At 36.8% G+C, this 15,580-nt stretch overlaps 1 protein-coding gene across 2 annotated transcripts in view; it reads left to right on the forward strand.

The window, feature by feature from the left end:
- Positions 1-15,580, forward strand: part of TENT5D (terminal nucleotidyltransferase 5D) — a 109,806-nt gene that overhangs the window by 71,196 nt on the left and 23,030 nt on the right. The window contains exon 1 of one of the 2 annotated variants that reach the window (NM_152630.5): positions 13,748-13,864. The exons of the other annotated variant lie outside the window; for it this stretch is intronic. The gene's annotated coding sequence lies outside the window, so the exon portion shown is untranslated. Of the gene's footprint in view, positions 1-13,747; positions 13,865-15,580 lie in introns of those variants that run through there. 2 annotated transcript variants of the gene reach the window in all.

Raw genomic sequence — 15,580 nt, forward strand, 5'->3', positions numbered from 1 at the left:
CCCCAATCTAGCAAGGCAGGCCAACGTTCAGATTCAGGAAATACAGAGAACGCCACAAAGATACTCCTCGAGAAGAGCAACTCCAAGACACATAATTGTCAGATTCACCAAAGTTGAAATGAAGGAAAAAATGTTAAGGGCAGCCAGAGAGAAAGGTCGGGTTACCCTCAAAGGGAAGCCCATCAGACTAACAGCGGATCTCTTGGCAGAAACCCTACAAGCCAGAAGAGAGTGGCGGCCAATATTCAACATTCTTAAAGAAAAGAATTTTCAACCCAGAATTTCATATCCAGCCAAACTAAGCTTCATAAGTGAAGGAGAAATAAAATACTTTACAGACAAGCAAATGCTGAGAGATTTTGTCACCAGCAGGCCTGCCCTAAAAGAGCTCTTGAAGGAAGCACTAAACATGGAATGGAACAACCGGTACCAGCCACTGCAAAATCATGCCAAAATGTAAAGACCATCGAGACTAGGAAGAAACTGCATCAACTAACGAGCAAAATAACCAGCTAACATCATAATGACAGGATCAAATCCACACATAACAATATTAACTTTAAAAGTAAATGGACTAAATGCTCCAATTAAAAGACACAGACTGGCAAATTGGATAAAGAGTCAAGACCCATCAGTGTGCTGTATTCAGGAAACCCATCTCATGGGCAGAGACACACATAGGCTCAAAATAAAAGGATGGAGGAAGATCTACCAAGCAAATGGAAAACAAAAAAAGGCAGGGGTTGCAATCCTAGTCTCTGATAAAACAGACTTTAAACCAACAAAAATCAAAAGAGACAAAGAAGGCCATTACATAATGGTAAAGGGATCAATTCAACAAGAAGAGCTAACTATCCTAAATATATATGCACCCAATACAGGAGCACCCCGATTCATAAAGCAAGTCCTGAGTGACCTACAAAGAGACTTAGACTCCCACACAATAATAATGGGAGACTTTAACACCCCACTGTCAACATTAGACAGATCAACGAGACAGAAAGTCAACAACGATACCCAGGAATTGAACTCAGCTCTGCACCAAGTGGACCTAATAGACATCTACAGAACTCTCCACCCCAAATCAACAGAATATACATTTTTTTCAGCACCACACCACACCTATTCCAAAATTGACCACATAGTTGGAAGTAAAGCTCTCCTCAGCAAATGTAAAAGAACAGAAATTATAACAAACTATCTCTCAGACCACAGTACAATCAAACTAGAACTCAGGATTAAGAATCTCACTCAAAACTGCTCAACTACATGGAAACTGAACAACCTGCTCCTGAATGACTACTGGATACATAACGAAATGAAGGCAGAAATAAAGATGTTCTTTGAAACCAACGAGAACAAAGACACAACATACCAGAATCTCTGGGACACATTCAAAGCAGTGTGTAGAGGGAAATTTGTAGCACTAAATGCCCACAGGAGAAAGCAGGAAAGATCCAAAATTGACACCCTAACATCACAATTAAAAGAACTAGAAAAGCAAGAGCAAACACATTCAAAAGCTAGCAGAAGGCAAGAAATAACTAAAATCAGAGCAGAACTGAAGGAAATAGAGACACAAAAAACCCTTCAAAAAATTAATGAATCCAGGAGCTGGTTTTTTGAAAGGATCAACAAAATTGATAGACCGCTAGCAAGACTAATAAAGGAAAAAAGAAGAATCAAATAGACACAATAAAAAATGATAAAGGGGATATCACCACAGATCCCACAGAAATACAAACTACCATCAGAGAATACTACAAACACCTCTACGCAAATAAACTAGAAAATCTAGAAGAAATGGATAAATTCCTCGACACATACACTCTCCCAAGACTAAACCAGGAAGAAGTTGAATCTCTGAATAGACCAATAACACGAGCTGAAATTGTGGCAATAATCAATAGTTTACCAACCAAAAAGAGTCCAGGACCAGATGGATTCACAGCCGAATTCTACCAGAGGTAGAAGGAGGAACTGGTACCATTCCTTCTGAAACTATTCCAATCAATAGAAAAAGAGGGAATCCTCCCTAACTCATTTTATGAGGCAAGCATCATTCTGATACCAAAGCCGGGCAGAGACACAGCCAAAAAAGAGAATTTTAGATCAATATCCTTGATGAACATTGATGCAAAAATCCTCAATAAAATACTGGCAAACCGAATCCAGCAGCACATCAAAAAGCTTATCCACCATGATCAAGTGGGCTTCATCCCTGGGATGCAAGGCTGGTTCAATATACGCAAATCAATAAACGTAATTCAGCATATAAACAGAGCCAAAGACAAAAACCACATGATTATCTCAATAGATGCAGAAAAAGCCTTTGACAAAATTCAACAACCCTTCATGCTAAAAACCCTCAATAAATTAGGTATTGATGGGACGTATTTCAAAATAATAAGAGCTATCTATGACAAACCCACAGCCAATATCATACTGAATGGGCAAAAACTGGAAGCATTCCCTTTGAAAACTGGCACAAGACAGGGATGCCCTCTCTCACCACTCCTATTCAACGTACTGTTGGAAGTTCTGGCCAGGGCAATTAGGCAGGAGAAGGAAATAAAGGGTATTCAATTAGGAAAAGAGGAAGTCAAATTGTCCCTGTTTGCAGACGACATGATTGTATATCTAGAAAACCCCATTGTCTCAGCCCAAAATCTCCTTCAGCTGATAAGCAACTTCAGCAAAGTCTCAGGATACAAAATCAATGTACAAAAATCACAAGCATTCTTATACACCAATAACAGACAAATAGAGAGCCAAATGAGTGAACTCCCATTCACAATTGCTTCAAAGAGAATAAAATACCTAGGAATCCAACTTACAAGGGATGTGAAGGACCTCTTCAAGCAGAACTACAAACCACTGCTCAAGGAAATAAAAGAGGATACAAACAAATGGAAGAACATTCCATGCTCATGGGTGGGAAGAATCAATATCATTAAAATGGCCATACTGCCCAAGGTAACTTACAGATTCAATGCCATCCCCATCAAGCTACCAATGACTTTCTTCACAGAATTGGAAAAAACTACTTTAAAGTTCATATGGAACCAAAAAAGAGCCCGCATCGCCAAGTCAATCCTAAGCCAAAAGAACAAAGCTGGAGGCATCACACTACCTGACTTCAAACTATACTACAAGGCTACAGTAACCAAAACAGCATGGTACTGGTACCAAAACAGAGATATAGATCAATGGAACAGAACAGAGCCCTCAGAAATAACACCGCATATCTACAACTATCTGATCTTTGACAAACCTGAGAAAAGCAATGGGGAAAGGATTCCCTATTTAATAAATGGTGCTGGGAAAACTGGCTAGCCATATGTAGAAAGCTGAAACTGGATCCCTTCCTTACACCTTATACAAAAATCAATTCAAGATGGATTAAAGACTTAAACGTTAGACCTAAAACCATAAAAACCCTAGAAGAAAACCTAGGCATCACCATTCAGGACATAGGCATGGGCAAGGACTTCATGTCCAAAACACCAAAAGCAATGGCAACAGAAGCCAAAATTGACAAATGGGATCTAATTAAACTAAAGAGCTTCTGCACAGCAAAAGAAACTACCATCAGAGTGAACAGGCAACCTACAAAATGGGAGAAAATTTTCACAACCTACTCATCTGACAAAGGGCTAATATCCAGAATCTACAATGAACTCAAACAAATTTACAAGAAAAAAACAAACAACCCCATCAAAAAGTGGGCGAAGGACATGAACAGACACTTCTCAAAAGAAGACATTTATGCAGCCAAAAAACACATGAAAAAATGCTCACCATCACTGGCCATCAGAGAAATGCAAATCAAAACCACAATGAGATACCATCTCACACCAGTTAGAATGGCAATCATTAAAAAGTCAGGAAACAACAGGTTCTGGAGAGGATGTGGAGAAATAGGAACACTTTTACACTGTTGGTGGGACTGTAAACTAGTTCAACCATTGTGGAAGTCAGTGTGGCGATTCCTCAGGGATCTAGAACTAGAAATACCATTTGACCCAGCCATCCCATTACTGGGTATATACCCAAAGGGCTATAAATCTTGCTACTATAAAGACACATGCACACGTATGTTTATTGTGGCATTATTCACAATAGCAAAGACTTGGAACCAACCCAAATGTCCAACAATGATAGACTGGATTAAGAAAATGTGGCACATATACACCATGGAATACTATGCAGCCATAGAAAATGATGAGTTCATGTCCTTTGTAGGGACATGGATGAAATTGGAAATCATCATTCTCAGTAAACTATCGCAAGAACAAAAAACCAAACACCTCATATTCTCACTCATAGGTGGGAATTGAACAATGAGAACACATGGACACAGGAAGGGGAACATCACACTCTGGGGACTGTTGTGGGGTGGGGGGAGGGGGGAGGGATAGCATTGGGAGATATACCTAATGCTGGATGACGAGTTAGTGGGTGCAGCGCACCAGCATGGCACATGTATACATATGTAACTAACCTGCACAATGTGCACATGTACCCTAAAACTTAAAGTATAATAAAAAAAAAAGAAAGAAAATTTCAGTGTTCTAACCAAGTCTTTAGTGTATAAGTGGTTTTCTTAACATCAAAACCCAATCTCTAGAAAGACTTTTATAAATGATTTCCCTTTAATTATAGACAAATTGACACAAATCATTTACTACATGCTTGAACTTACTGTTTTATCCTAGACATTCGTCTTTCTTAAATAACTAGTTGTTTTATTTTAGGACAAAAATTTACCGTACAAGATTTTTTTCTCATATAAAATTATTTTTCTTTTAACCTTTCTTGCCAAAAATTCCTCTTTATGTTTATAACTTACTTTACATTGTTCTTATTCACTGATTACCTTTACATAATTTTTAAAATAACTTTTAAATAACCTTTGAATTAGACAAAAAGTATTTTTTAATAAGAACACATTTCTTTTTTTCAGAAAAAGTGTTTTCTTGTAATTAAAAAAAATTGGAAATGACCCAGACATTTAATAACTATCAATTATTTAGCTTAATATAACTTTAGATTTTAAATTATATGACAGGATTATCTACAAGCATTTATTCCATTACATTTACCTAATTAATTATTAATTGGCTTTGAGAGTCTACGGCTTTTCGAGGCACATGGTGCAAACTGCCAGTGGAGCTACCATTCTGGGGTTTGGAGGATGGTGGCCATCTTCTCACAGCTCCACTAGGCAGTACCCCAGTAAGGACTCTGTGTGGGGGCTCCAACCCCACATTTCCCTTCCACACTGCCCTAACAGAGGGGCCCCACCCCTGGAGCAAACTTTTGCCTGGGCATCCAGGCATTTCCATACATCTTCTAAAATCTAGGAGGAGGTTCCCAAACCTCAATTCTTAACTTCTGTGCACCTGCAGGCTCAATGCCACATGGAAGCTGCCAAGGCTTGGGGCTCCCACCCTCTGGAGTCACAGCTCGAGCTGTACGTTGGCCCCTTTCAGCCATGGCTGGGGAGCAGCTGGGACACAGGGCACCAAGTCACTTGGCTGCACACAGCAGGGGGACCCTGGACCTGGCCCACAAAACCACATTTTCCTCCTGGGCCCCCGGGCCTGTGATAGGAGAGGCTGCCACGAAGGTCTCTGACGTGGCCTGGAGACATTTTCCCTGTAGTCTTGGGGATTAACACTAGGCTCCTTGCTACTTCTGAAAATTTCTGCAGCCGGCCTGAATTTCTTCTCAAAAAACAGGCTTTTCTTTTCCACTGCATTGTCAAGCTGAAAGTTTTCTGAACTTTTTGCTCTGTTTTCCTTTTAAAATGGAATGCTTTTAACAGCACACAAGTCACCTTTTGAATGCTTTGCTGCTTAGAAATTTCTTCTGCCAGATACCGTAAATCATCTCTCTCAAGTTCAAAGTTCCACAAATCTCTAGGGCAGGGGCAAAATGCTGCCAGTCACTTTGCTAAAACATAATAAGAGTCACCTTTTCTCTAGTTCCTAACAAGTTCCTCATCCCCATCTGAGACCACCTCAGCCTGGACCTTATTGTTCATATCACTATCAGCATTTTTGTCATAATTAATTATTATTTTTTAATAGTTTACCCAGATTACTTATGAAAAATATGATAGTTATTTAAAGTTTAAAGTTTTCTTGTTAAACATTTATATAACCTGTGGATTCCAGGTTTTCCTAAGTAAGAACATTAAAATTAGATAAATGTGGGGTTTTTGTTTTGGTGTTACTATATTTTTTTTTTGCCAGTAAGTCAAGATTTAGTTGTTTTCATTAACCAACCAATGTTAAATGTCTTATTTATTAAATTTTATGTAAACAAAGATAATTCTCTTTTGAGCCACATTTACAGATTTATAACCCTCATACCAAATTTTGACATCTAGCAGAGATAAATAACGTATGCTGACAATTGTGAAGCCATTTCTAATTCTATTTCACCAAATTTTTAAAACCATATTATTTATTAAAGATTTAGTTAAGCCATGTGAACTTGAAAAAGCATTTGGCTTAAAGTCTCTATATTTCTGATTAAGTATTTGATTTAAGCACCTTTTTAAAAAGCCAATTATAGTTCTTTTATACATTTTTAATGGTGAAACATCATATATTTGATGCGTAAATACATAGACATATTCGACATGTAGTTAGGAGTAGACCTTATAGATTCATAAGACATGGTTTTGAAATGTGAGGACATGAGATTTGGAGAGACCAGGGGCAAAATGATATGGTTTGGCTTTGTCTCCACCCAAATATCAACTTGAATTGTATCTCCCAGAATTCCCACATGTTGGGGCATGGACCCAGGGGGAGGTAATTGAATCATGGGGGCTGGTCTTTCCCATGCTATTCTTGTGATAGTGAATAAGTCTCCCAAGATCTGATGGGTTTATCAGGGTTTTCCGCTTTTGCTTCTTCCTCATTTTTCTCTTGCCTCCACCACATCAGAAGTGCCTTTCACCCTCACCATGATTCTGAGGCCTCCTCAGCCATGTGGAACTGTAAGTCCAATTAAACCTCATTTTGTTCCCAGTTTCGGGTATGTATCAGCAGCATGAAAATGAACTAATACACACATAATTTGGAGCTTTCCTTTGGATTTGATCAAGTCAGAAAGAGTTGGTCAAACCCAGTGGGAAAAAGACCAAAACAACAACAAAAACAGAAACAAGCAAACAACAAAAAAATAGTTAAGCAAAGCAAAGAATTGCACAATTTATGTGATTACTGAGCACTCCAGTGGTAAGGAGAAATGAAGATCAGCTGGTTGTTAATCTTAACTTTAGTGAAAACAAAATTCCAATTCAGGTATTTACCTTGGGATGGGTCTGAAGCTGTTCTCTGTCATCCTAGAAGCAGGAAAAAACTCAAACTCTCCTTCCCTGTTGGAAGCAAACTCAAACTCCAGGAAGGAGTTACCTGCCTTCCATCATGAAAGCAGGAAGACTTGCCTTTGTTGTTGGCAGCAAGTAAAACTCCAAAAAGAAGGAGTTGTACAGTAAAATAAACTTTAGATCTTGACTAAAGCTTGGGAGGTCAGGGATTCTCTGGAGGGGGAGCTTCCAGGCCTCAGAAAATTGTCCTATTGGTTTGAACCATAAAGATAGCTCAAGCTGGTACTGATAGATTTGTCATAGATCAGGGGCACCTCCACTCAGAATCCCTTCATGGCCACCAAAATGTGAACCCCAAATATCTGCAACAGGTCTCAGTCAATTTAGGTTTATTTTGCCAAGGTTAAGGACGTGCCCGCAACAGCCTCAGGAAGTCCTGAGACATCTGCCCAAGGTGGTCAGGCGTACAGTTTGTTTTTATACATTTTAGGGAGACATAAGACAGGTCTTACAGTCAGTATGTGTAAGACTTACATTGGTTCAGTCTTGTAAGGTGGGACAACTCAAAGTAGGTGTTTCCAGGTTAGAAGTAGATAAGAGACAAAAGGTTGCATTATTGTGAGTCCTTGATCAGCCTTCCACTGAATACATAATTTAATCTGGCTCAGTGAATCTGCATTTTTACATAAAGAATAGGGGAGAGGAAGCAATGAGATATGGATTTGTCTCAAGTGAGCCTCAGAGGGATGACTTTGAATAGAATAGGAAACAGGTTTGCCTTAAGCTGTTCCCAGCTTGACTTTTCCCTTTAACTTAGTGATTTTGGGGTCCCAAGATTTATTTTCCTTTCTCACAATATTGATTTTTCCTATATATGAACATGAAATGCTTTTCCTTTTTTGTATTATGTCTGATATTTTTATCAGTGTTTTGTAATTCTCATTGTAGCAATCTTTTACCTCCCTGCTTAGATGTATTCCCAGGTATTTTATTCCTTTTGTGGCTATTTTGAATGGTATTGCATTCTTCATTTGGCTCTCAGCTTGGATGTTGTTGGTGTAGAGAAATGCTACTGATTTTCATACATTAGTTTTGTATCCTGAAGATTTGATGAAGTTGTTTATCAGATCAAGAATCTTTTGGGCAGAGCCTATAGGGTTTTCTAGGTATAGAATAATATAATCAACAATCAGTGATAGTTTGACTTCCTGTCTTCCTATTTGGATACCCTTTATTTTTTTGTTGTTTGTTTGTTTTGCCTGATTTTTCTAGCTAGGACTGCCAGTACTGTGTTGAATAGGAGTCTTGAGAATGGGCATACCTGTCCTGTTCTGGTTTGCAAGGGAAATCTTCCAGCTTTTGCCCATTAAGTATGATTGGCTTTGGGTTTGTCATATATGGCTGTTATTATTTTGAGATATGTTCCTTCAATACCTAGTTTATTAAGATTTTTTAACATAAATGGATGTTAAATTTTATCAAAAGCCTTTTCTGCATCTATTGAGATTTTCATGTTGTTGTTGTTTTTAGTTCTGTTTATGTGAACATTTATTGATTTGCATATGTTGAACCAACCTTACATCCCAGGGATAAAGCCTACTTGATCATGATGGATTAACTTTTTAATGTGTTGCTTGATACGGTTTGCTGATGTTTTCATGAGGATTTTTGCATCCATGTTTATTAAGGATATTGGCCTGAAGTTTTCTTTTTTGTTTTGACTTTGCCGTTTTGTGGTTATCAAGATCTTGTTGGCCTCATAGAATGAGTTAGGGAACAGCACCTCCTCCTCAGTTTTTGGGACTGGTTTCAATGGGAATGGCACCAGCTCTTCCTTATACATTTGATAAAATTCAGTGTGAATCTGTCTGGTCTTTGTACTTTCTGATTTTTAGGCTTTTTATTACTGATTTGATTTTAGAACTCATTACTGGTTTGTTCAGGGATTGAGTTTATTCCTGGTTCAATCTCAGTTGTTGTATGTTTACAGGAATTTATCCAGTTATTCTAGGTTTTCTAGTTTGTGTGTGTAGAGGTACTCAAGGTTTTTTTCTTTTTTTTTTGTATTTCTGTTGGGTCAGTGGTAATGTCCCTGTAGTCATTTCTGATTTTGTTTATTTGGATATTCTCTCTTTTGTCTTTACTAATCTAGGTAGTTGTCTATCTTATTTATTCTTTCAAAGAACCAACTCCTGGCTTCATTGATATTTTGAATTTTTTTTTTTTTTTTTTTGCATCTGAATTTCCTTCAGTTCGGCTGTGATTATGGTATTATCTTCTGCTGGTTTGGAGGTTAATTTGCTTTTGTTTTTATTTTTCCTCTTTACGTTATGTTAGTTGGTTTTTTTTTTTTATCTTCCTAACGTTTTGATGTCATCGTTTAGTGTTATAAACTTCCCTTTAACACTGCTTTAGTTGTGTCCCAGGGATTCTGGTATGTTGTCCCTTTTTTCTTACTAATTTCAAAGAATGTCTTGATTTCTGCCTTAATTTCCTCGTTTACCCTGAAGTCATCCAGGCACAGGTTGAATTTCATGTAACTGTATGGTTTTGAGCAATTTTCTTAGTATTGATGTCTGTTTGGGGTGGGGGGTGCTGTGGTCTGAACATGTGGTTGGTATGAATTTTTCTTTCTTTCTTTCTTTCTGGAATTTGCTGAGGATTGTTTTTTGGCTGATTGTGTGGTCAATTTTAGAGTATGTGCCATGTGCAGCTGTGAATTTATATTCTCTTGTTTTTCAGAGAATTCTGTAGATGTCTATTAGGTCAATTTGGTCAGGTGTTGAGTTCAGGTCCTGAATAACTTTGTTAGTTTTCTGCCTCAATGATTTTTCTTATACTGTCAGTGGGGCATTGAACTCTCCTGCTATTATTGTGTGGTTATCTAAGTATCTTTATAGGTTTTTAAGAACTTGCCTTATGAATCTGGGTGCTCCTGTGTTGGGTGCATATATCTTTAGAATAGTTAGGTCTTTTTGTTGAATTGAACCCTTTACTACTATATCATTTCCTGATTTCTCCTTTTTGACTTTTGTTGCTTTAAAATCTGTTCTGTCTGTAATTAGTATAGCAATCCCTGCTTTTTTTTTCTATTTTCCATTTGTATGAAAGATTTTTCTTCATCTGTTTTCTTTGAGTCTGGGTGTCATTATATGTGAGATTGGTCTCTTGAGGACAGCATACCATTGGATCTTGTTTCTTTATCCAACTTTCCAATTTGTACCTTTTACTTGAGGCATTTAAGCCTTTATGTTCAAGGTTAATATTGATATGTGCAGATTTCATTCTATCATCATGTTATAAGCTATTCATTATGCAGATTTGTTTGTGTGTTTGCTTTATTGTATCAGTCATCTGTGTGCTTAAGTGTGTATTTGTGGTGGCTGGTAATAGTTTTTTTTTTTTTTTTTCCACTTTTAGCCCTATCTTCAGGACCTCTTCTAAGGCAGGTGTGGTGGTAATAAATTCCTTTAGCATTAGCTTTTCTGAAAAGAATCTTATTTTTCCTTCGCTTATGAAGCTTAGTTTGACTGGCTATGAAATTCTTGCTTTGAATTTCTTTTATTTAAGTATGCCGAATACAAGCCTCCAGTGCCTTTTGGCTTTTAGGGTTTCTGTTGAAAGATCTATTGTCAGCCTAATGGAGTTCCCTTTGTAGGTGATCTGCTCCATTTTCTCTAGCTTCCTTTAACATTTTTTCTTTCATTTCAACCTTGGAAAATCTGATGACTTTGTGTCTTGGGTAAGGTCATCATGTATATTATCTTGCAGGGATTCTCTGCATTTCCTGAATTTAGATGTTAGCCTTGTTAGTGAGCTTGGGAAATGTTCATGAACAATATCCTGAAATAGGTTTTCCAAGGTGTTTGCTTTCTCTCCTTCTCTTTCAAGGGTGCCAATCAGGTGTAGACTTGGTCGCTTTACATAATCCTGTATTTCTTGGAGGTTTTATTTATACTTCTTTAATATTTTTAAAAATTTTTTTCCAACTGAGTTATTTCAGAGAACCAGTCTTTGAGCTCTGAGATTATTTCCTCATTTTTGCCCTAAAATGCCACAATTCACTCAGTAACATAAAAATCATTCTTACTTGAAAAGGGATCTTTAATGATTTTTTTTTGAGTCAGGTTCTTGCTCTTTTGCCCAGGCTGGAGTGCAGTGGGGCAGTCATGCTTCACTGCAGCCTCGAACTCCTGAGCTCAAGTGATAATCCTACCTCAGCCTCCCAAATTGGTAGGATTACCAGTTCATGCCACCATGCCCAACTAATTTTTTAAATTTTTTTTCAAAGACAGGGTCTCATTATGTTGCCCACACTGGTCTCAAACTCCTGGCCTCAACAGATCCTCTTGCTTCAGCCTCCCAAAACTCTGGTTGATTTAAAAAGTATATGTATCCAAAATGAGTCAAAAGAGAATGACACTATTGGTCAAATTGGGAATTATGACCTTTGGAATGAATGGGGATGAAACCAGAATATTTGGATTGCTAAACAGCTATTTAGCAGTAGTTGTCTTTTGACTTCTGTTTTGTCTTTTCTTCTCCCAAAACTCCTTCCTCCTATCTTCTTTCTCACTGATACTTGTACTATCTTTGTTATTATACTGTTTTGACTTTTTATATTGGTAAAAGACATATTTTTAAATCTTTATAAAAAGATAGTTGAGAATTTGACCTATATCTGATATATGTATTTTATTTTAGAATTTGACCTATATCTGATATATGTATTTTATTTTAAACATGTAGTACTTTACAGAATTCATTATTGCTGATTAATGAAACTGCCTTATGACATTTTCAGATTTCTTTCCAATAACCCTTGCTTGTATATTAAATGGCACCCTACAAAATATCTGATTTCTTATTCTACTTAAAACCCCTCCTCCACCCCCTACCTAGCTAGCTAACTCTTTGTTCATCATGTCCATTTTATCTGTTACTCTTTTCATGAATTTCTTTGCATAATTTGTTTTTTATTTTTTTCAATGGGATCATAGACCCTACCTCTATTCTTCACATTCTTTTGAATGAGGATTGAGTTAATTAAAGCACTTAATACCTGACACATTATAAGCATCATATAATTTTTAGTTATCATTGCCATTTAATTATGTTTAAAAATTCTACACTCAAAAGTTTAAAATTAAAAACTTATATTCAGTATTATATATATCATGTAATGTAATTTTCATATCTTTAAGAAACTGTACACGTATATTTTTCTTTAAAATTAAACTCCAGTGTAACATTCTTTATATACAAGGATTAGGATTATAGTCTTAAATGTTACTAAAAATTATTTATTTCTTTGTCATATATTATACTGCCAGGAAAACATTGAGTAGGTATCTTGTTTTACCTTTGGCCCCTCCAAAATGTATTTAGTCTTTTCTATGTTTTACTGGAAAATGCTATAAATTATCTATCTTAAAAATATCACATGGATCACTGGCTTAGCCAGACAATTTTCTTCCTATATCTACCTATTTGCCTATCTTTGTAATCTTGATATTCTTATTCAAACAGTTATGTGATAGTTTCTATAAATTGGACATACTGTAACAAAACATTATTTTGAGAAGAACTCTGTCTTTTAAATGTTCTTTTTAAAAATTAGTTGTTGGCACTCAAAACAATTATACTTATCAACCATAATACTTTTTTAACTGTTTCTTTTTGAGACAAAGGCTTGCTCTGTTTCTCAGGCTGGAGTGCAGTGGTGTGATCATGGCTTACTTCAGCCTTGACCTTCTGGGCTCAAGCAATTCTCCTACCTCAGCCTCCTGAGTAGCTGGAATGACAGATATGCATCCCCACACCGAGCTAATTTCTTTTTATATTTTTTATAGAGTCGAAGTCTCTCTATCTTGCCCAGGCTAGTCTTGAACTCCTGGGCTCAAGTAATCCTCCAGCCTCAGCCTTCCAAATTGCTGGGATTACAGGCATGAGCCACCATGACCAGCCTCTTTTTAATTGTTTAAGAATTTTTTTTAAAACAAAAACATGTTCACTTGGGGGTAAAAATTAAATAGAGAATATTTTCCCAAATTCTGTATTTCAGAAATTACAACTTAATTTTGAAGTTACATGTAGGCAGTTACAATACTTACAAAACAAAAATGTTTGCCTATCTGTGTGAATCTGCATGGTTTAACTGGTTATTTTCACTATTTTTTTCTCCTTCCTCCCTCTTCACTATTTTTTAACTTAAGTTCAAGTATCTTGAGGAACCTGTTTTTAATCTTTAATATATCTAGTATAACATTGTCTTTTTTGAGATTTGGGACTCAGAATTGCCCTATTTAAATTTATTTTTTGAAAATTCCCCCATCTATAAGAGCATTAATGATGCAATAATAATATTCCTTGTCTCCTGGCAACAGTAACCCTGGAATTGCAGCAAGTGAGGTGTAGAGAATGTGTGGAGATCAGGTGATGCAGAACTCTGGTAAAGGATGTTAGTCTTCAGAGTAAGACTGTTAAATTCAGCAAAGTCTACTATCAGAAGACACGGTGAGCAATCTTGTAGAAAGGGAGTTTTTCTTTTAGTTTTAACTCTGAGCACACATCAAAATTGACGTTTAATTTATATTTTGTCCAGAAACTTATTTGATTCAACTAAAATATCTTTGAAAATTATCTCTTTCATTAATAACTGTGCCCAAAATCATGGCTGTGGTAAAACTGAACTCAGTTAATATGTTTAAAAGGGCATCAATAATTGTTTTAATATTTTATTTTCTGAACTAGCTCAAGAGTAAGAGATAAAAGACATAACTGATACGTTGATATAGTATTAAGAATTATGTTTTTTCAGAACTCTAGAGTAAGAGAGTTACAAAACTCCCTACGTCCTACATTAATTGACTGACACATTGACATCTCAATAAATAGCCTGATGATGGATTATTTTCAAACTTTAATTTGTTTCTGAAGTGAAGTATTAAAAGACTATACCTAATTCCTTTTTTGATATCAAATGTTTTTAATTACTACATACCAGTGAAAGAAAGTTATTGTCAGGTAATCAAGCATGTTTACATATCTGTATTTTTTTTATATAGTCCTGAACTTCCTTTTCAGATTATTTTTTTTCCTTTAAAGCACTCATGTCTTATCTCATTTGTATAGTTTTTGTTTGTTTGTTTGTTTTTTAGATGGGGTCTCACTCTGTCACTAGGCTAGAGTGCAGTGGCATGATCTCGGCTCACTGCAATCTCTGCCTCCCAGGTTCAAGCGATTCTCCTGCCTCAGCCTCCAGAGTAGCTGGGACTACAGGCATGCACCACCACACCCAGCTAATTTTTTTTTGTATTTTAGTAAAGACGGGGTTTCACCATGTTGGCCAGGATGGTCTTGATCTCCTCACCTCGTGATCTACCCGCCTCGGCCTCCCAAAGTGTTGGGATTACAGGCGTGAGCCACCGTGCCTGGCCTCACTTGTATAGCTTTTAAGTACCTTAAGAGTGAAGTTACCTTATTTTCCTCTAGTAGAACAATTTAATGCAAGTAAAGTTTAGAAAAATAATCAAATTAATCATAAACTGAATGGATTTTATTAAGCCAATTGTATTTTAAAATAGCAAAGACTGCATTTTGAAATTGTTTCTTTAAAGAATGCCATTATCATTCACCCTTTTTCTCCTATGAAAATTAACTGCAGATGTGAGAGAAAATATGAGGACCTGAATATCTGTAGCCAAACTAAGAGTAGAAGGTGTTGAAATGAGGGAGGGGACTTCCCCATGATAAGGAGACTTAAGGAAAAAAGTGACTAGAAAAAAATGCCACGTCTTTCAGCAAAACTGCCTTCTGAGCGTGAACTTAAATTTGTATTTGTGTTGGAAATGCTTGAAGAAATGTGAGGAGAAGGAGGAGTTATTTGTGTGTCGGGGGGTGGGAAAAAAAGTGGAGGTTACTGAGTGGGAGGTTGGGAATTCATGGGGCAAGTCATTATTTATAAGAAAAAAAGGGAAAATAGTTTTTGGTATAGGAAAGGAGAAAGGTAGTAGTATCCCATGGGAGAAAGTTCAGCAATGAAGGAGAATGGAAAGTAATAAGAGATCACCCCACCTAGGGTAGGTAGAATCCATATGATTCCTTCTTTCTTTATTTCTCTCCCTTTAAAAAAATGCCTTTCATGGCTGGGTGCAGTGGCTCATGCCTGTAATCCCAGCACTTTGGGGGGCTGAGGTGGGTGGATCACGAGGTCAGGAGTTCAAGACCATC

The sequence above is a fragment of the Homo sapiens genome, chromosome X, assembly GCF_000001405.40.
Source record: "Homo sapiens chromosome X, GRCh38.p14 Primary Assembly".
Lineage (NCBI taxonomy): Eukaryota > Metazoa > Chordata > Mammalia > Primates > Hominidae > Homo > Homo sapiens.